Consider the following 23223-nt stretch of genomic DNA (forward strand, 5'->3'; position numbering starts at 1 on the left):
TAGCTAAGGTTTTGGGGAAAATTCATCTCCTCTCCTTCATGACTATTTTCTTTGTTATTTATTTTATGTCACCATTGGTTTTATGTTGTTCACTGCTGTTTCAAATACCTTTGGAAATAAGTACAGTTTTTAAAAATCCATAAAATCACCACATTTGCCAGTCTGGAATGTTTCTTTCTAAAACTATGATTCACATGAAATCCATTTATTAAATAATTGTTCAGTATCTGGGAACTGTCTGTTAAATTAAATGAATAAGCCCCCAATTACACCAGTGAGGTTAAATACGTTGCTAAGTATGATAAAATAAGATTTAAATGTACAGGTAAAATAAAGCCTGATATGCAATATTATGAGAGGTCAATACAGGAAGGGTTTTTACTGCCTAAGGGGAAATGAAGAAGACAGCACAGAGATAAGGTACCTCCACTGAATCTTAAGGTAACACCACTGTGTGCTACTGAATATGGTAATGCTTGCTGTACACTGCCCAGTACTAAAGGGTGTCATTCATATTATATATTATGAAATAGTATCCAATTTGGTACAACTTATTATTAACATATTAATACATATATTATGAAATATACAATATTGTACAGCAAGCATACTTATAAATATATATCATGTATGATGCATCATATATATACATCATACGTTATACATGATATATATGATATACATGTCCTATATATAATGTATATACATGTTATGCCAATTTTCTTGCAGGGTGCAGTAAAATGCCATGAAGAAATGGCTTCTTTTATTTGCACAGTTATCCTATGGGCCAGTGGTAGCACAAGCAGTAATTTTTAAACATGGAAATACCCATTAATTTAGATTTGATTTGACCAGGTTGTATATTGGACATGTTATTATTTTTTCAATGCTTCAAGTATACACACCTTGTTAAGAATCACTGAATCTGGAGAGTAACATTTAGTAGAGAATGGAAAATTCTAGATATAAGAACTATTTGAAGCAGTGAGAGATGAAAAGTGAGAATGCAGGGACAATTTCATTGAAGAACAGATGATTCAAAATAGAAACAATAGGTGAGGGCCTTAAATACTGAGGAGTTTGAAGTCCATTATCTGGGCAATGAGGATTATTAATGTTTTATTTTAAATAAGTCAAATAATCAAGTTTGGGACTTAGGAAGATTAATCTGATAAATGAGAAGGGAGCAAATCTTCATGCAGGAAGATCAAGTAGGTCACGATGGCAGTGGTCAACATGGTGGTGATTAAAACCTGACTTAAGTGGATGCAGTGAAAAATAAAACACAGGAGACAAATAGAAAAAAATATGGTGAAGTTAAAACTGTTAGAAATTGGAAGATGGTTGGGTGTATGGGTGACAATTTCAAGCTGAGTGACAGTAGGTATGGTGATGAAATTTATGGAGATTGAGAACACAGACTTAGGGAGGGGGAGATGTGTGTTTAAGGCATCTGAGAAGAGACAGCCACAAAAGGTTGACATGCAGTTACACCACAGTGAGTCAATCACACCAGAGTATCCAAGAGTTCAAGGCCCAGATCCATGGAGATCTAGGTCCAAGTCTGGCCATGTGGGGCACCATAACAGTACAGTAAATTACTTAACTTTTCTAAGCCTCTATTTAAGTTGTAAAGCAAATATTAGTATCACCCCAAGAGTTAAAAAATATTGAGATAATAAACACTGTACCAGTATGTAGAAAAGTCGTAACAATGCTAACTAATCTTATAATTAGGATAAAATTTAGGGGTCAAAAATTAAAATTTGGAATTAATTGTGCAGAGGTGCTAAATTAGACCCACAGAGAAAAATGCATTATCAAGGAAGAGAAGATATAGGAAGAAAAGAAAAAAACATAGCCTAGACCTTGATAGATCCCTATACTTAGAACGCAGGTAGAGCAGTGGGAACCCAGAAGTAGACAGGGAAACAGCAGCCAAGAAGGTCACTTTCTAATCTTTACATTTAAAAATAGGCAAAATTGAAAGAGTGGTATATGAACTGTATTATAAGGGCTGGAGGTCTCAATTGCAGAGCTTTGCTAGAACTTTTCAGTCTACCTCAGAACCATAGTACTTAATCCTTCCATGTTTTGCTCTAAGAAAGAGGATGGAGCTATAGTTCACTAGATACAGCCTTGTACCATGCTTGTCAAAAAATTACAATAAGAATTGTTTGATCGTTACTGATTACTATCTGATAACATCAAAACAAAGTTTCATAAACATAAGTGCTACAGCATGGAAGTAATAATGATAACAAACCAAGGCTCTCTGTCTGATTTAAAAAACAGTGGGACATCTGCTTGGCTGCTACCATAATTGGCTACCAGCCTGTTGTTTTGTTGTGCTGGAAGAGGGACTTTATGTCCTATGGATATTATTTGTTCTTGGTCCAGGGGGACCCAAGTTTCCATTAGATTACAAGCTCTATGCACATAGCCAGATGTGTGCAAGACTCTTGCATAAGTTCTGTAAATCATGCTTAACTTTATTCCTTTTAGTATTGGGTTTCTTTTAGTTTCCTTTGGTCCTTTCTCTGTGAGAATTAACTTGTATCTCCCTGGACTCATAGTGTCTACGGTGTCACTTGGTGTGTTGTAACTCTCCCTGCCATAGCCTTTTGAAAGCCTCCTATGATAACCAAACTAAACAGATACACTGACGTTTCAATATCACTGTTCGTTCGTGCTGACATTGGATTCAATTCTATTCACTCATTCATTTATTCTTTCATTCAGGAAATATCTTTTCAGCACCTGCTGTATACCAATCATGTAGCTAGATGTGTTCTCATATGTTATCCAAAGAATGAGTGTTCATGGTAGGATACAGAATGATTTCTAGAATAGCTCCCATTTAAAGACTTCTTCAATTAATCTCACTCTCATTTCCTCACGCACCACTACCACCACTAAACCTGTTGATATTACTTTCTAAATATGTCTTAAATCCATCGTTTTTTCTCCACTTTTTTCTGCATCCTTTTTAGGCCATATTACCATTACAGTCAAGCATAATTGCCTTACTGGTTTCTCCACCTGAATTCTTATCTCTCTTCAACCCATTAACCATGCTGCTGTTGGAGACTTTTTCTTTTCAATGTAACTCAGATCCAATCGTGAATCTTTCCAGATTAAAATACTTCAAAGACTTCTTGTTGTTCCTGGGATAAATCCTTACAAACTACTGTGATATCTGGCCCATCTCTAAACCTTCTGCATCATCTCTTATTTTCCCTGTTCTCTGTCATCCAGGGGCATTGGCCTTCTGCTTTCTGCTTTCAGTTATTTAAACCTGCTGTGCTCTTAGCTGTCCCTGGCAGGCTCATTGCAGTTGCTGCTCCCTTACCTTTGAATGCTTTCCTTAATTCTTTGCCAGTTAAAGCTGACTCATTTTTAGATATTGGTTTATTTAGCTCAATGTACATAAAGCTACATTAGCTAAATAAACTAATATCTAAAAATCTTGTATGTATATGTACATGGGAATGTATGTATACATATTTGTGTGTATATGTGTATGTATGTGTATATGTGTGTATGTGTGTATATACATATATGTACATACGTATATACATACATATGCACACACAAATATATATACATACATTCCCATATACATATATCCATACATATCCATATATTTACATACATACATTATATATCCATATACATACACACACATATATATATATGCGTGCATCTATTAGGGAAGCCTCTCTGATCTCTCAGTCTAGCTTATCACATTGCAACTTTTTTCCCTTCACTAAACAATAATATACTTGAGAGCACAAATTTTGGCTCTTTACCACTTTTTCCCCAAAGGAGTAGCACAAAACATATATGTAAATAGAATTGCAATATATCTTGCTTTTGAATGAAAAATGATTAACTGGTAACCCAACCATCTTAAAAGGGAAGAATGCTGCTTTGGGACTATACTGTTTCTTGCAAATTCTTGTCAAGGCTTTTATAATTAATGAAGATGACAATAGAATGGAGGAAATAAATAAGGATACTAATTTAGCAATAATTTTAGGCTTCAAAGATTTGAAACATTACTCCATTAAATTATTTTAATAGCATATATTTCCATTAATCTTCATTATTTTTGAAGACCAAACACAGAGTAAGCATTCTTCCCTAAAGTCAGCTTTTTCAAACATGTATAATGTTATTTTACTTTTAAATTGGCAGATAAAATTGTGAGTATTTATTGTATAAAACATGATGTGTTTTGAAGTATACATAGATTGTAGAATGACTAAATCTAGCTAGTTAACATATAAATTACCTCACATAGTTATCATGTATGTGGTACAAACACTTAAAATTCTCTCTCTTAGCATTGTTTGAGAAAACAAATATATATATTAAAGTCAGTTGTGAGCAGCAATGGCAATAAAAACTTTACCTTAATCTGATGTTTAGAATAAGGACATTTCACATATGCTAGATTAGAGAAAAGCAAGTTAAGCTGAGAAGATTAATAGTAAACCTTTGTCATAGCTCTCCTGTAGAAAAATGCTCCTAATGAAGGATGTGTTTGGGTGAAATTGTTTATTCCATGAAAACAAACAAGCAAGTAAACAAAAAACCTTGGTAATAAGAGTGCACTAATAGAATCACTTACAAATTAGCCCTCAAGTATTTTTCAGAGCCTGAATTTATAGTTTAGGCAAGCTAATAATGATACAAGGGCATTTTTTCAAATATATTTTTCCTAAACACAAGGTAGCAAGGTTAATGTGTAAGCATCTTGTTGAATAATACTCATTGTTTTCAAGTGGGCAGAGGGGTTTATGCCAGAATTTCTCTAGAAGGCCACAAACTGTTCCTTCCCAGTTGCGTTTCAGAGCCAGGGGTTCAAAAACAGTTCACCATTAACTTTTACACAATGGACTATTAATTTTAAAAGTCCTAAACACACTCAGCATTACATACACAAGGATGAAGTAAATGTCATTAATAATACTTCAAGCACATTGGATGATGGCAATGGAATAGAGAGAATTATCTGAAAGAGGAATAGCACTCAGAAGACTTCAGAGAAACAGGACATGGGAAGTGCTGGGTAGGAGTGAAAACATGAATCCTACTACTGCCTGTATATTGATGATGCTTTGCATATGTACAGATGAGCTTAATTACTTGTTTTGAGAAAAAGATGTTCACACAGAAATGGGAAATTCTATGATACTGTCTTGTGAAGGACATTCTGGCAACAGCTGGAAACAGCTACTATTAGCAACAGGATTGTTGGTTCAACTTTAATGGCTTAAAGTTAGGCCAGACAACCAATTGGGGAAAAAAAAAAAGTCCTAAGTTTCAATGGACATTCTGTGATGAAATGTTCAGGTTTGAAGACAGTTGGTGAAGAAAACTTCTAGGGATTCCCTAAATGGAGGGAGTCAATGGTCTTGTCTCAGTGATTTACCACAGAGCCATCGTGCTTTTTAGCACAATCTACCACAACTTTTCCCTCTCCCTCACCACCTATCCCTATAAGCTCATGCCCAGCAGGGAGTAAACAATTTAATGATAATGCATATATGATTCGTGGAAAGGAAATACAGGATTTCCTGTTCTTATGGGACATAATCCATATTTGAAGATAACAGTGCTTACAATGTCAGAGGCAGTCTATGATATTTACTGTGTTCCTAGAAAATATGCATAGCTGTGTTCACTGAATTTTTAACATGCCTTCTTCTTTGATAAAATAATTTGTTTAAAAGTTCCTAGTTCAAATAATAGAGAAACCTTTTACACATAGGGAACAACATTTTTTTCCTTAATTAAAAAGTTCACATTCTACAATATTTGGAAATATGTGACCCTACTTTTCACGTAAAGACCATCTGACCTAAAGGGCCAACTCCTTGCCACCTGATTGTCCCTTTCTCTGTCACATATCAGACCTCTGACTGGCTGAGAGGTAGCCATCAGGGCTGGCCTTCCAGGATCTGGAAGATCAAAATCTGCTCATACAAACTGGCAAGGAGAACGTGAAAAGCATAAATGCAAGAAATGAGAAATCTCCGTGGCTGGAGTGGTGGCTTATGGATCCTCTCTCTTTTTCCTGTCTTAGGGACATAATGCTTCTGGGAATGTCCTGGTGTCATAGCAATACTCTTTAGGGACCATTTCTGTGCTTTCTGTAACTTTGTTTAAGCAACAAAAAAGCAAAAAAGCTTTGGACTTGCTCAAAGGGTGGCTAATCTGATACAGATAAAGTGTGGATGAAACTCATTTTTAGCCTGTAACTATGTTGTAGGATGGAAAAGAAAACTTGCTTGTGGGTCAAAATTTTGTGGGTTAGACTCTCAAATGAATCAGTTATTCACCATGTGTCCATTGTCAAAACTTATCCTTTTAGTTGCAGTTTCTTCTCTGGAAAGTGAGCCTAAAATATTAATTTGAAAGCTTATTTTGGGATTAGAAAAGGAGAGTGAATTAGATGGTATCTACGTCGTAAAGGGTCAGGCACGTGAGCAGTGCTCAGTACATAGGACCTATTATTAAAATATGATGAAAATACTGGTTATGGTGATTTGACAAAACAACCTTCTTTTGTGGATAGTGGTTACTACTTGATACAGAATAGTTTCATTTAAAGAGTGGTAACTCTAGTCTATCATTTCCCTTTAATGTGATTCTGTAAAAGAAATTTTAATTGAAAATATTTAACTATCAGGAGAGAAATATGACTTTTCCAGTTTCTCTGTTCACTTCGTTTTAGTATAGAATTAGAGATTCTTAACATATAAATCCTAGAAAGTAATTTAGAAATCTTGTCATTATATCTTCAGAGTAATAACTTTCATCACAGGGTCTGTTTGGGCTGAGAGTAGAGCTTTATTCATGTTTACCAGAAGTCCCAAGCAAAAATTTTTTAAACCAAGTACATTCTACAACCCTTCAAAAAGATTCAAAAAACAATAATTTAAACCAAAGAACTCTGGCAGTGCATGACATTTTCTGCCTCATTAAATGAGGCAAACAAAAAATGACCAAATGACTACTGAAAACATAGAGGAGAAAAAATACTAAGAAAGTTTACAGAGACTTTCCAGTAACAAAAGTTACTGGAACAAAAATCTGTTTTGTTGACTCAATAGTAATCAATATTCACTTTTATGTTGTTTTATGCTTAAGACAGGAAAACCTGAGCCTTCCTCTTTACTATCAGAGCAAATGGTAATCATGAAGTGAAGCAAATTGATTATTGATTACTGATTACTTGAATTTCTATGTTTTATAAGTAGAGCAACCATCTGTTAACAGGAATAACAGGTTTTAGCAGGGAAAGGATTAAGGGTTTTATTTTCCTCAACTGAGGCCCAAAATGAGTGAGATTTTTCAAGTTAACTTTCATTCCATTTGGCTCAGGTGTCAGGGATCTATATTTAACTTGTGTTAGGCATGCGTCCGAAGAGCTGGAAGGCTGAGGATGTCAATGGCTTTCAGATGTCAGGATAACCTTAAGGATAGATGAAGGGTTGAGAGCCTGTGCCTCATTTCTGAGTTCTCAGCTGCTATGCCGTGGAAATCCTGTTTACTTTCTGCATCTGCTCCTGCAAGACTCTGGAGCCAGTCTTGAGGTCCTACATCTCCGAAAGCAAGCTCTTCTAGAAGTTGGTGAGCAGAATGCTTTTTGTTTAGAAGTGTGGCTATAAATGTCTTTGTAGTTGATGCACTCTCATCTAGTAAGTAACTATTATTTTTGGGCTCTCTAGAAAGGTAATTATTATCTGATATAATAGTTTAGTCTGTGATGCTTCTTTTAACATATTTGTAAGTTTTAACCAAATGGTTAAAGAAATTTGCTTTTTAACCCTTAAACCTCACATATCCACAAGTCTCTAAATTCCATAGGATGCTATGGATTTCTAGTTGCCTAGTTCATGTCTTTTACTTAGAAAACGTCAGAAAACCCAAACTTCTCGTGACTTCAAAAAGTGTAATTGTACCTGAAACTTCTTTTCCTTCAGATTTCTTATTTATGTTTTCTGATAGGTTTTTAAGATTAATCTTTTCAGAAGGATGCTCTAAAAATCTGGCCAATTTGATTATCCTCTTCCAACTTGGAAAAAATATGTATTTAAAATGAGACTAGAATTTGAATGACCTTCTTTCATGGAACTCTGAAAATGTTTTTTGGCTTGCTGTCACAACTGACAAATATATTTAAGAAATAACCTAAAAGACCAATCTTAACAATTTGACTCCTAGACAGAAGAAAACAAAAATCTTTTTATACATAAAACTTACTAATCATTAGTGATCATAGAAATTTTCTTGAGTGTGGGTGCCACATGTCTTATTTGTGGGGTGGGGGCAGATTTTGTTACATAGCAGAATTTTTATTATATGGTGTGTTTCATAATATGGCTACATAAGATCAGACAACACCGCCAGGAATGACAGAGTCGTTACTTATACAGAAAGTCAACTTAAGTTATGCATATTTCGAGACACAATTAAGGTTGATACAAAAAAAGAAAAGCAGTTCCTTCTGTTTCTCCATGCTATTCTGCTATTCTACAAGCCCTGGAAAAGAATTAGATAGGCTTCTTTGCCTTTACAAAAAAGGTCACTTTCTTTTATTATTTGGGGAATGGTTGGTTGGTGCTAGACTGAATTCTGGGGAACCATTTAAGGCTAATACTTCCAAAGGGGTAAACTTGTTGACACTCCTTGAGAGAACTCACAATTCAGATGGGATCTCTATCTCAAAGAGAAATAGGCAACCTATCTTGTTTTCAGGTGTAACTGACTAAATAATAAAAGTGGATTTGTGGGGCAATATATGAGACTTCTGTAATCCTGACAAGAGGAAAGGAAAAATATTTTCAAATGATGTACTATGCAAATACTAATTATTTGGAATCTGATACTTTTGTAAAGGATAATGATAACTGTGTAATTAACTGTTCTAAGAGTTCAAGAAAGCTAACACCTGAGGATAATAAAACAGTTTTCACCTGGGGAAAAGATAAGCTCTGGAACTCAAGAATTACAGTCAGGCAAAAAAAAAAAAAAAAAGAGTTTTAAACTGCTGAGAAATGATTGAAAAAGACTGCTTAAGGTTGTAGAGTGGGATGATTAAATGGAAGGAAATGTTTCAGAGCAAAGAAATATAAAGTTCTTGATGTGACTGCGGCTCATTTTGCTTTTGGCACAAATTACTGATTAAGATGACTACTTAAGGAATTTAATCTGATATTCTTAGTATTTACAAACAAAGCTTCAGGTTAAATTGTTTTGAAAAATAAAGAAATGCTATAAAATGAGTGAAGTGCACTTCAGATAAAAATTGTGAAGTGTGTGCAACGCGCTTCACAACAGGTTACTTTATTGCCACCTGTGAGGAGCAAGAGGAGGTACTAGAGGAGGGGAATGAGGTTGGGTTTCCATATCATGTGACTAGAATCCTCAGTCATGTCTAATCCACAGTGGTTCAATCACAAACAATAAATGCTCATCAGGAAAAGTAAATGATTGCAAACAGATATAAGTGTGCAATGAATATAAAAAGAATATAGTTGAGTAAATAGTTTTAGTGTTCTGTTGTATATAGAAGTACAGTAATTGGCTAAGCCACTGGAATTTTTTTTTTTTTTTTTTTTTTTTTTTTTTTTTTTTTTTTAGCAAAGTATGCCATTGGTTCCACAATAAGCTTTCAAGTCATTTCTTTATGGAAAAGGGTAAAGTGAATTCTGATTTGTATCTTCTGACAAACCACGTGGAGAAGTAACACTTTTAGATACGTGCTTGTTGGTACCCTGCTAAATAGCTAAAGATGTTTTGAAACATACTCAGAGACCTTTGTCACACAAACACTATAGTACAAAGAAGGAAATGACAGAAAATTGGCAAGCATTAGAGGGGACATAGGAGACAGCTTGGCTCATTCACCAAGGACTCCAGACTGTGCTCAAATGGAAAACCATTGTTTGCCCTTCAGTGCTTGTGATGTTTAAAGGTGAAATGAGGATAGTTTTTAAAAATAAATTATTATTAGTTTCATCTCTTCATTAATGTTGTTCCTTCTCATTAAGTCTTATAAATATTACTTTTCTCATTTAAATTTTTAGAAAATTAAAAAAATATATATTAGTCATGTCATGTTTTACGACCATGACTTAATAAGAACACTTCAGTCTAATTGAAATTCATTTGGAGGTTCCTTTGGTCCCATGTTGGAACTTCACTGTAACTTTATGTAAAATGTAGCAAATGCCATTGCAAGATCTACTTCTTGTATCTCATTCTGGTCAGTTTTAGAAGTGAAGTAATAAAAATTAGTGTGTTCAATACAATGGTCTCAGAAAATAGAACCCAAAGCATCCTGTCTTTCCAGAGAAGATACAAAATTTTAAGTAAACTGGATATCTACTTTAAGACTGAGCCCTCAAACATGAAATACCTATTTTGTTTGAATACATGATGGAGTTGCTATCTTTCACATACCTTTATTCATTGACATACTCTTTCAAAAATATTTAATGAACACCTACACTGCTTTAGGAAATGCTATTAGAAGCAACATTGTGCTAAACATTTATAAGAATCTAGGATCATTTTACAGGTGGTTTTCTGAACCTTGTTCATATAGAATGAAACTTTTGATGAAGGTTAACAAACAAAAACTGTTAGTTAATGGTGAAAGCATATTCATCATTTTATGGACACTTTTCCCCATGACCCCACAACAACAGCTCCCTTAAAGTGTTATCAGTCTCTGGGGGAAAAAAAATGGACCAAATGAGTGACAGTTATATTTCCAGAAGGACTAGAAGGAAGATACTGTCAGAGTTGTTTCCATTGCTTGCTCTAAGCTTCTCGTTTTTGCATCATTTACTCTTAAAATGCTAAGTAACTTCACACAACATAGGAAGCCTCTCCAGAATAAAATATCTGTAGTATGGACTCTAAGCTTTAGGATTGATAACTTCCTAAAATTATTTCTTCTTGAACTATTTCATCTGAAATGGGGAATAAATACTAGTCTTGATTTTATCTTGGTCTCCTGGGAAGACCTTTAATTTCTATTAGCCCCATCCTTTTAAGAGCTGTTTGGGCAATAGGTACATCTAAGCAGATGCATAGACAAAGAATTACAGTGCAGAAAGGTATGAGCTGTGATAAGCTTAATATACAGGGATAAGAGCATTCCTTACAGACCTTTGCTATTGCCTAGAGTTGGAGCATCTTGCCGGCATATAAACTCCATAAAGGTAATGGAGCTATTCCATTTGTAACTACTTGTGTTAGTAACAGCAATGTCCCAGTACCTGACTCATACATAATAAGCACTCAATAGAGAGATTTTATTCATTTATTTAAAATATTGTCTAAATATTTCCTAAATCAAAATATTCATCTTCTACTAAGGACTATGACTAAAATTTTAAGAATTTTGAATCACGTAAATAACTTAGATACATTTCTTTCTTATGTTTAGCACTTTTTCTAAAAATATCCAAATTGATGTAGAGCTCTACTGTAACATAATACGTAGATCTGTGCAACTTTTTTTTTTGTATTAAATTCTCAGGTAGGTAGTTTAATGGAATGTTACTACTGCTGTTCTTCCCAGCATGTCTGGCTGGGTTTGTTTATTTTTACAATATAGGACAGATCCTCTACTCACAAAATGAATTATGGGATTTAATAGAGAAATATTCTATAATTTACAAGACGCTAAATATATAAACTCACAGATGCTGAGAATGTCTCAGTGAATCAATTCATGAAGCTCATTCATTTCACCTAATGCCTCTCAATGATGTCCTAGTCCTTTTCCCCAGTCTGCATGCAAAACTTAGATGTGCTTGCTACTGTGCTCAGTCTCTTAGATGTCTTTGCCGCATGTACTGAGTTTTGGATGAAGCCAGAGAGAAACATTTAGCTCAGTCCATTTCACTCTGGGTCCGAGGGTCATCTTGGAGATTTGCTAATCTTTCCTCCAGGAAAGGGTTGTGATTTCTCCACTTTTCACTTCATGAACAACCACAGCATGCACAGTACTGTTCTTTGCTAGCCTAGTCACGTATCCCCTCAAAACCCTCTCTGAAATTGGGGGATGGTTACCAGCTGGTGGTAAAAGTACAGGCATCACCCATTTTCTTTCTCCATCCCTTAGTTCCTTTCTGACCTAGACAGCTGCTTGAATGTTCCTTCCCCTTCAGTCTTCCAATCTTTGTGTATTTTATCCTTGTACTGCAGCTCTGTTATAATCATTCAACAAAATTCTATATGGTTTACCAGCTGAAGTTGGGAAACACAGGATTAAACAAAGTGAAAAATAAATCCTATTATTAAGAGGCAAACAGGATGCTTACTATAATTCCTCCCATTATCTTCTCCACTCCATTAATATTCCTCTTGAGTATTAAAGGTAGCATTTTGTTCTGTCAACTCTCCCATGCAAAACTTCTGTACATAGTAACAGCAAGAGAGTTTCTGAAGCTGAAATCCTGTAGAATAAATAAAAGCAACTGAAACAATCTGAATGGTCCTTTGAAAAAAAGAAGAAAAAGAAAAGCACTTAATTATTTACCATGGCAAAGCAACAGCTATGAAGCTTGCCTTTTCTTTTTTTCTGAGGCTTAGGGCTGGACGTCTACTTTCAGCTGCTCTGCCAAAGTTTACATTTTTTTCATAGCAAAAGCTACAAATAGGAGAAGTGGGGATAGTTTTTAGCACACTCTAAAACTAAGATCTACTGATTTTTTACAAATAAGGACATGGAGGCTTGTAGAAGTTAGTGACCTTTTATGCCTTTGTCTAGCCATATTGCTTTCCTCAGTTTCCATTTCTGCAGATTTTCTAGGTTCCCATTCCCCATCCCCCACTTTCTAAGTGATATTATCAATTTTCATGACTTCACCTGTAATCTGAATGTTGAGGAGACCCCAATCTACATCTTAGGGCTCCAATCACTCTTCTCAACTTCAGACCCATGTATCTCCATGCCAGTAGGTCAAGTTCTCAAGCTGAAAGTATCTAAACTCTTTTTGTTGTTGTTGTTGTTGTCATTGTTGAGACTGAGTCTCACTCTGTCGCCCAGGCTGGAGTACGGTGGTGCAATTTCGGCTCACTGCAACCTCCTCCTCCCAGGTTCAAGCGATTCTCCTGCCTCATCCTCCCGAGTGCTGGGACTACAGGTGCCTGCTGCCTCGCCCAGCTAATTTTCTGTATTTTTGGTAGACATGGGGTTTCACTGTGTTAGCCCGGATGGTCTGCATCTCCTGACCTCGTGATCCGCCCGCCTCGGCCTCTCAAAGTGCTGGGATTACAGGCGTGAGCCATATAACCTTGTTAATGTGTTCTGATTCAAGATGTACATTTTTATGTTCAAAATTAAATTATAATCCCCAAATGAGTGTCTTTTACTAGGCTTGAATTTATCCCAGCATTCAATAATATATATGCATATAACATATCCCCTGCAAATTATTTTAAAATAAAATGGTTAAATTTTAATAGCTATTTATTATCTATGTGGTACCTGCAAAGCACTCTAAAAATAATTATGCAAAGTGCCTAGTATTTAATGAGAAGTAAATTACTGGTTGAGGCATACTCTCTAGTGTTAGACTGCATATGTTTGAAACTTAGATCTCTAACTTTCCAGCTCTGTGACCTCTGGCAAGTTAGTAAACTTCTTTGTACCTCTGCTTCCCTATCTGTAACACATGGATAATAAACATGCCTACCTCATAGGGTAACTGTTCAAGATAAGCAACTTAATGCATATAAAATACTCATACAAGTGTCTTGCATATGGTAAGTTCCATAGAAGGGTTAAATATTATTTAAGTTTTACAATAATTTTAAAGTAGATAGTGTTATCTCCATTTTACAAATGAGTAAACAGACTTGGGGAGATTAAAAAATTGGCTCAGGATCTTGCAGCCAGTTAGTGAAAATGTCAATATTAAACCCTGACAGGACTAACTTCACACCACCCCTAAAACTGGTCCTATGTTTCCCCTCCAGGTTAATAGTACCTCCTTTTGTCTTGTTACTCAAGCGTAAAACCTGAGACTTACGATTTTTTCCTCTCTACCTAACTAATTAGTCACCAAGCCGTAGCTATTCATGCTAACTTCTAAATATCTTCCATATCCACTAAGTATTTCTGAAATCTTTCCCACATTTCCCACCCCCACCCCCATAGCCAGTTTTTAAGTTCAACTACATAATTTCCTTTCTAGATTATTTTGATAGGCGTCCTCTGGCCTTCCCTCCAATCCATTCTTCATGCTGATGCCAAGGCCATCTCCTAAACCCAAATTTTGTCATGCGCTCCTTCTCTAAAAATCCTTGAGTAGTCCTATGTTGCTTTCAAGATAAACCCACGAGAGAATGAATTCCAGGTAATCAAGGCACACATACAATATAAAGTTTGGTATAGTATGTGTTACATTAGGGCTTCACGTTTGTGGTCATTTGTGGCCACTTTTCTGGTGTCTTGTTCTTCCAAAACTCATACACTGTACCGAATCCTTACTGAAACATGTTTCCCCAGTTGTATGTTTATTATTTTGTATGTTTCTTTATGTATCTGTATTTGGGGAAATGCTTGTGATCCACTATACCCTCTCCCACTCTGTACCCGGAGCTGTACAATGCAGTCCTGGCATAAGGAACCACTTCCTCCACCACTGTCCTTTAACACCTTCTCTCCCTCACCATTCACTCTTCCTACCTGAGTGTAGATGTCACGGCCTATTAGAATTGTCTGTTTATGAATCTGCCTTCCTAGACCTGCTGGGAGCTACCTAAGCGGGGTGTCAGGTTTTTGTTTTGTTGATTCTCACGTTTTCTCCCAATCAGAAGTCCAAACTAAGAATACTTTAGGAATGTATTTAAGTTTACTCTTGCAAGGGCTACTGATTGATAAAATATTTGCCAATGTAATTGGGGGGAATAAAAGCATGTATAAATAAAACAAAGTTGATGATTCAAACTATGATAGCAGAATAATTTCACACGTAATCTGAAGATTTCAACAACAAGAGCTTGATAGGAGACATAATACAGTATTAGAGTCAGAAAAAATAGTTACAAAAAGCCTGAGTTAGTATTTGCCTGTCTTTTGGCTTGTGATCTGTTGGTGAAGGGAGCCAGATGAGAATTTGGTTCAGGTTACAAGTATGATCACCCAGCAGGTGCTTGCTATGTAGGCAAAGGGTTGAGGACAAGATAAGATTAGGAAAGGACATGCGCTGTGAGGGGTGAGCCAAGCTGTGGGTCTGATCTAGGTTTAAAGCCTTCCTTGGAAAACAAGGACTGGCAAGTGAATACTGGAAACTGAAGAGTGAGAAGTATTATCCAAAAGCACACAGCTCACTTTTAACAGCTGATTAAATGAGACTAGATTTATCACAGTAGTTCTCAAAAATTGGCATGAGAATGATAAAAAATGTTTAACTTGGTATTCACAATGCCTTTTTAAAAATTGTTACTATATTGTCATTGTAATTATCATCATCATTACTCTTATTTTGAGTTTTCCTGATCTATATTTGTGCTCTGTATGTCTCACCTCAGACTACCTAAGATTTTTAGTCCCTTCTAGGAAGTTATTTAAAATCTACCCACAATTATTTTGGTAGCCATTTACTGAGAGGGTAATTTAGCTTCCTAATATTATGGTATTTTTATGTCATCTTTTGTAAATACAAGAATAGTAATATCTTCAGTGTAGTCGCTGAGGCTTCTTTCCTTTAGTGAAGTTTTAGCGAAACAGAATTTTCCTCTATCTTCTTTTGAACATATTTTAAACAGTTATTTTAATTTTATTTATTTATTTATTTTTTATCTTTTATCTTTTTTGAGACGGAGTCTTGCTCTGTCTCGCCCAGGCTGCAGGGCGGTGGCGTGATCTCGGCTCACTGCAACCTCTGGCTCCTGAGTTCAAGCGATTCTCCTGCCTCAGCCTCCCCAGTAGCTGGGACTACAGGCGCCCGCCACCACGCCTGGCTAATTTTTTGGATTTTTACTAGAGACTGGTTTCACTGTGTTAGCCAGGCTGGTCTCTATCTCCTGACCTCGTGATCTGCCTGCTTCAGCCTCCCAAAGTGTTGGGATTACAGGCCTGAGCCACGGCACCCAGCCAGATTTTTTTATTTTTTAGAGACAGGGTCTGCTCTCTCTGTCAGTCAGGCTGGAGTGCAGTGGCACAATCATAGCTCACTGTAATCTCAAACTCCTGGCTTTAAGTAATCTTCCCCACTCAGCCACCCAAGAAGCTGGGACTACAGGTACACACCACCATGCCCAGCTAATTTTTGTGGTTGTTTCTTTCTGTAGAGGCAGAGTCTCTCTATGTTGCCCAGGCTGGTCTCAAACTCATGGCCTCAAGCAATCCTCCCTCTTGGGCCCCACAAACCACTGGGATTATAGGCCTGAGCCACTGCGCCCTGCCTTGAACAAAATTATAATAAAGCTCTTGAGTGTTTTGTGGCCTTTCAGCAGATGCTCTGCCCCCCTGTTGTGACCTGGCCATGTTTCTTGTCTCAGCCTGCTTTTTTCTCCCATACATGACACAGAGGCCCTAACCTCAAAATCGTCGTCCCGTGTCATTTTGCACACCCATAATAATCTCTCCTATTTCTTATCACTGTGGCATCTTCTAATTTTTCTTCTTTGAGTTTCTCTTTAGTCATCTTGAAAATTCTGAGAGATTGTGCTAGCATATACATGAGAGCCTCCTGATAGCACTGGAGTTAGGAGCCAAGTTTCTTAGATGCTTTATTACTGCCAATGTCCTTTCTTTAACCAAAGACCAACAGGAACACACCTGTAGTGAAACAAGTTCATTACTCATTGAAAAGAGAGGAAAGTGTACCATAGGGAACTGACAGTGACCCGGTAAGAAGATGTTAGGAAAAATCTATTCTAGAATTTGGACTTCGGTTGGTTGGTTGGGGAGGGTCGAGGAGGTGATACTGAAGGAAATAGAGATTTGCTCTGAATTAGATGTTGTCAGGAGGCAGGATAATTTTATGATTGGGTGTCTTAATCTTGGAGGAGGGAAGACTAGACTGAAGCTAAAGCTGTAATTGATAAAGAAGCAGAGTCACTCATAGTAAGTGAGAAGGGAATGTGTAGTATCTGTGGCTTGGACAGTGTTGATAATCGTTTTGGGTTCAGACATAAAAGGTCTCATTTTGTCTTGACTCATCATGATCACAGAATGATTTTATCTAAAGTAAATGCTCTATGAATTGTTTGTGTTCAGCAGAACAAACACCAAGGCCAAGCAGTGAGTGCTGGGCCTGTGCCCAGAAACAGCAAGACCTAGCTAATAATATCAGCCCAGCTCCTGGGTGATGGGCTGTTTTCTCTTTACAGTACAAAGTTCTTTGTTACTTCAGTAATTAAACGTGCACACCTGAAATCCAATTTCCACTACTTTGATGATTGTTGAAATGAGATTCTTTTGAATGTCCTTCTTAAGTTCTATAATATGCTCAATACACTGAGTCCTGTAATATAAAATATCATTCCTGTTATGCTAGCAACCTGAAAAATCACAGGAGATCAGTCCCTGTATAAAAATGATAATGTGCACAAATTGTTTGGGGGCATTTATTCTTTTCTTTGCACATATACCATAAAAACTAATTTGTTATATAAATGAAAAAATTATGCCTTTGGCATATATAAAATACAATGAAATGAAATTTTAATAACTCAAAGCTTCTTATGAAGAAATTAAGGGGTCTTTCTACTTACTATGTAGATGAACAGCATGCTAATCAGATTGTAGAATCCTGCAGTTGGGAATTATCTTAAAAAGTATTTCTGAAAATATGCACCTCTGTGGAACTTATATAAATGTGGTTAAATATATATACTCAACTTTCTATTTAGATATTCCAGATACCACCTGAAATAGAAGAGATAATCTGACTTTTTCTATTATTCAACCATATACTTTCTTTTGTTGTTTTTATTTCTTTAATTTTCCACATTGACAGATATAATTGTATGTATTCACTGTGTCTTAAATGTATAAGCATTGTGGAATGGGCTCAATCTAGCTATTTAACATGTGTGTTATATCACATAGTTATTATTTTTGTGGTGAGAACACTTTATATCCACTAAGCATTTTTTAAGAATTCAGATAAACTTTCATCATAAGCTTTGCTTAAATAAAAAATCTAGTAAGTGATTCAAGTCTGTGATTGAATAATATTCCATATATTTAGGTAGTATATGGATTCAAAATGAGTAGAAATATTGACAAACATCCCATGCTAATAATCTACTTTGTAACTTCTCATAAATCTGTAGAGGAAGTAGTAGTAGAGAGAGGAGGGGAGATAAGGCTATAAATAAACTTGATTCCATGAGTCACACAAAGAAAAAGTATCTTTTCTTTATGGTAATGTAATATTTAAGACATTTGTAATATTCATAATTGTATTACTTTCTTTACATTATACATATATGCTTTTTAAACATGAGCTGCATGATAAATTCAAAGTTTCAGTGCCATATGTAAACTTAAGTTTCTCTATTTTTTCTTTTTGCAGGGAGGTGAGGGTTGCTCTTAAAATATGATAAAGGCAATACAAGAGAAATAGTGTGTTTTAACCACTGCTGTATTTATCATAGTATCTTGTTAATAAGCTACTTTGATTCTACTTTATGGAGATTTTTCCTTTAGTTACTCTTGAAGATATCATCTAAACCAAGAAAGATATTCATTCTTCTCTTTCTCCTTAAGGTCTATCTTTTCACAAGATCCTACTTCATCTTTCCTATTTTGGAATAAAACATGCAGCTCTGTTTTATGTGAGCCAGAAATAATTTACTGAACAGGAAACTGTAGTTAAGAAGTAAAAATCACAGTGAAAAATTTTAACTTTTAATGGGACAAAGAGGCTTGAATCTTTTACGGATGAGAGATGCTTGTCAGGGGCCTAAGAGATGGGGTTTATTTAAGTCTAGTCAGCAGTTTTGATTCTTAAATTTGAATAGTTCAAAAGTCAAATTAGAGTAGGATCCTGATAACTGAGTTGATTCCTTGTTAACAGTAATAAAAGGTAAATATTATCAATAAATATAAAATATCTACCAGTTACTTGGGAAGTTAATATAGTACTTTTGGAGTATATTTTATACAGAACCAAATGCATATAATTAGCTAATGTGCTTTTGGGTGTCTATATTTTGTAATAATACTATCTGAAAAGTTGTTACAGATAAACATTTATTATTTTTCTGAAAGTCAAAGGGATATTTTGTATGCCCGGCTTAGCAGCAGTTGTCTATTTGAAATGAAAATAAAAGAGCATTAATGCCAATCAGCTTTCTTACTAGAAATATTCCTGTACTTGATGTTTTTCCACAAACTCTTAACACATCACAGATATTCTTAAACTACTTGTATAAATTATACCAGAATAAAATGGGCATCATTCTCTTTTTTGTTTACATCGAATGTTTGTTTCTCCAGAGCACATCCGTATTGTGGAGAAACAATGGTGACTGTTTTTAATTGCAAAAACTACCCAGATTCTTTCTTGGAGAGCCTCCTTGTTTTCCACTGGGTTTAGACATAGGTTCTCTTTCACTCTTTATCCTACATTTTTAGACCATCATAATGTATTTATATTTTATACACCCACTGGCCAACAAGAGAATCTATATATATGTTCACTAAAAAGCAGGTTTATACAATTAGTTTACTCATTCCTTCTTCCTAGTAAGGTTCTTCTTTACTTGAGTCCAGTTCCTGACTCCAGAATAAAAATGAAATTATCAATGTCTCTTGTACATTAGTCTGTGATTTTTTTGCAGGGGTGCCCTCTGTATCTTAATCTTTGCTTCTTCTTCGCGGCTCCATCTTTCCCTCAAATTCCCCACCATGACACTGAAGTACTTCCCCGATTCTGCCCTTCCTTGGAAACCACATCTGAGTTCCTGACCCCAATTCCAATACCCCAGTTTATAATGTGAAGTGGGAAATTGGGGGATTAAATATTTCCTGATATCAGTTGAAAACTGTGGGTGCCCTTGTTATTTGCTCTGCTACTTGTTAGCTTTATACTGTATTTGTCGCTTCAACGAATGCCAATATAAAAGAAATGCTAAGTCCTTTGTTCCTTTGACCTTTTGTGTTTTTTTCCCCTCTGCTTGCATAGGGGCGTATCCAGTTTTCATTACTTCTCTTCTGTCTACCCCTGCTGTTATGTTCCAGAATGCCACCAAGATGAAAGCTAACCAAAAGTATTTCTCCCACTTGTGATAATGACTCTTAGGGCTTGCTTTCCAGTTTTACAGCCCTCTTTGCCATGGCTGCCACTACAAACTGCAAGCACATTCCCGTTAATCCAAACTCTGCCTAGAATGAGACCACATTCCCTTCATCAGGCTGAATACAAGTTTTAGTTCAGGGCCTTGTGTCTTTCCCGCATTCATTTATTAGTCATCGAGCTGAATTTCTCAACCCAATTTATTGCTTTTCATGTGACCTTTTAAAAGTACAAACTCGTATCCTGTCACTCCTCCAACTTATAATTATTTAATTGTTCTATTCTGCTTACAGAATAAAGTTCAATCTCCTTAGAATATCATGCAGGGGGCTTCAAGGTCTGGTATCCACCTGTTTTCCTCACTTTTTGCAACTTCCCTGAAAACCATTTTTGTACATTTGCAAGCATATCACTTCCTTTTTGCCTCTGAATTTATGCATGTTGTTCTTTCTGCTTCTATTGCCCTTTTTCCATCTTCTGTGATTAGAAAATATCTATTCATCCATTGAAGCCCTTCTGTTATTTTACAATCTATCTCCTATCAACAAAATCACAATCTATTCAAGACCATATTTTATTCATCTTTGCATGCCAGCGCCATGCTCAAAGCCTGGAGTATGATTAAAGGTCAGTTAGTGTTTGAATGAATAAGTTAGTTCTTTAGTACGTTTCCTTTCTCTTAACTCACAACTTGAAGTTGTATTATTTCTTTACTCTTCAGAATTTCTCCCAAAATATTCTAAGGCGGGAAGCTTCATGAAAACTCTTGGAGTTTTCTCTAATAGTCTTACCAAAACAAATGGAAGAGTCTTTCTTGGTTTCCATGATAGCTTTCTTTGTTTCAGATTGGTTAATTTTATAGTTCACTTTTCATTTGTCAGGATAATTCTGTTTTTAGGAAGGATAGAAGCTTGGACTTAATTTTATTTTGAATTTTGATTTAATTTTGATTTGATTTTATAGCCTTAACAGATAACACTTTCTTCCTTTAAAGAAATCTATCTTTCCAGGCAATAGGAGATCTTGTTGTATTTCTTTGTTCTTTAGAGTTGATTCTATAGATATTCCTTGACTTTTTGTTAGGGTTATATCCCAATAAAGCTAGTGTAAGTTAAAAATATGAAAATATCATTGTAAAAATGCATTTAATACATCTAATCTACTGGATATCATAGCTCAGCCTAGCTTATCTTATATGTGCTCAGAACACTTACATTAGCCCACATTTGGGCAAAATCATCTAATACAGAGCATATTTTAGAATAAAATGTGGACTATGTCATGTAATTAATCAAATCTAGCATTGAACTATGGTTTCTACTGAATGTATATTGCTTTTACACCATTGTGATGTTGAAGGGTTGTAAGTTGAATCATTGTAAGTTGGGGACCATCTGTGTGTGTGTGTGTGTGTGTGTGTGTGCCTGCACGCACACACACACACACACGCAATTTGAGCAGATAATTGTGTTATCAAGATGGTATGACAGTCCAGTATTTTAAAGTGATTTCTCTAGAGGAAAGTTATTATTTGACAAATACTATGAAAATAAATCTCAAACATTTTCTTAAGTCTCCAGTTGTTATCAGTTGGGATGATTTTGCCTGCAAGTAACAAAGTCCAAAAGAAGCAGTTTCTTGGGTACTTTTTATTTTGTTCATATAATAAGGAGTCAACAGACTGAATTAACCAGCTTGGAATCATCCTTAGGCTCACTGATATTACTTAATTCATAGGGCTCTAGGTTGGTTTTTCTTACTGTTACCCTACAAGTGCAAAGTGGCTACGGCGATTGTAAGGATCATGTCTTTATATAACAATGCCTAACAACAGTAAGAAACAAGTTTCTGTCTTGTTTCAGTCTTTTAAAACAGAAAACTATCACTACAGCTCTGTAGCTGACTTGTTTTTATGCCTCAGTGTCAGCATTTTGTTATATGCTTGCTATACATCTCATTATCAAGGAGAATTGTGGCTAAAACTAATCAATATTCAACCTCTGTAGCTTGGGAGAGGTTTTATAATCACATAGACATGAAATATCTAACACAAAATCAGAGCTCAGTGAGGAGAGATGAGGTGGAAAGAGTGGAAGTAAATTCTGTCATAGTAGGTCCTATTCTAATTTACATGAGTTCAATTTTTGAAAATTAAAATATATGTGTCCTCACACACAGGGGAACAACACACATGGGGGCCTTTCAGAGGGTAGACAGTGGAGGGAGAGAATCAGGAAAAATCACTAATGCGTACTAGGCTTAATACTTGGGTGACGAAATAATCTATAGAACAAACCTCCATGACACAGTTTACCTATGTAACAAACCTGCATGTGTACCCCTGAACTTAAAAGTTAAAAAAAAAATAAAATATATGTATCCTCAAAATAATTTTTAAAAAGTAAAATTGCTGTGAAGGGCCAGGCACGGTGGCTCACACCTGTAATCCCAGCACTTTGGGAGCCTGAGGTGGGTGGATTATCTGAGGTCAGGAGTTTGAAACCAGCCTGGCCAACATGGCAAAACCCCATCACTAATAAAAATAAATAAATTAGCCGGGCATGGTGGCAGGTGCTTGTAGTCCCAGCTACTTGGGAGACTGAAGCTAGAGAATTGCTTAAACCCATAAGGCAAAGCTTGCAGTGAGCTGAGATTGTGCCACTGCACTCCAGTCTGAACGACAGAGCGAGACTGTGTCTCCAAAAAAAAAAAAAAAAAAATTGTTGTGAGAAAAACAAGCTCTTCAAACGTACATTGGATGCTGAAGTTTCTATTTCTCACTTGACTATGATATTCTTTTCAATTACATCTGTGCTGCGGTCTTCTAGGGGTTTGTCATTAGAGAAAGGTCAGACTGATAAGATAGTAAAGTGCCAAAAGTTGGTCATGCCTAAATTCATTGGAAAAATTACTTAGTTTAGGACAGAATTTT

The 23223-nt window shown here is 35.8% G+C and overlaps 1 protein-coding gene across 7 annotated transcripts in view; it reads left to right on the forward strand.

Moving 5' to 3' along the window:
* Window positions 7472-23223, forward strand: part of CD36 (CD36 molecule (CD36 blood group)) — a 77068-nt gene continuing 61316 nt past the window's right edge. For all 7 annotated transcript variants that reach the window (XM_024447003.2, NM_001371075.1, NM_001371081.1 and 4 more), the window contains exon 1: window positions 7472-7644. The gene's annotated coding sequence lies outside the window, so the exon portion shown is untranslated. The remainder of the gene's footprint in view (window positions 7645-23223) is intronic.

The sequence above is a fragment of the Homo sapiens genome, chromosome 7 (assembly GCF_000001405.40).
Source record: "Homo sapiens chromosome 7, GRCh38.p14 Primary Assembly".
Classification (NCBI taxonomy): Eukaryota; Metazoa; Chordata; class Mammalia; order Primates; family Hominidae; genus Homo; species Homo sapiens.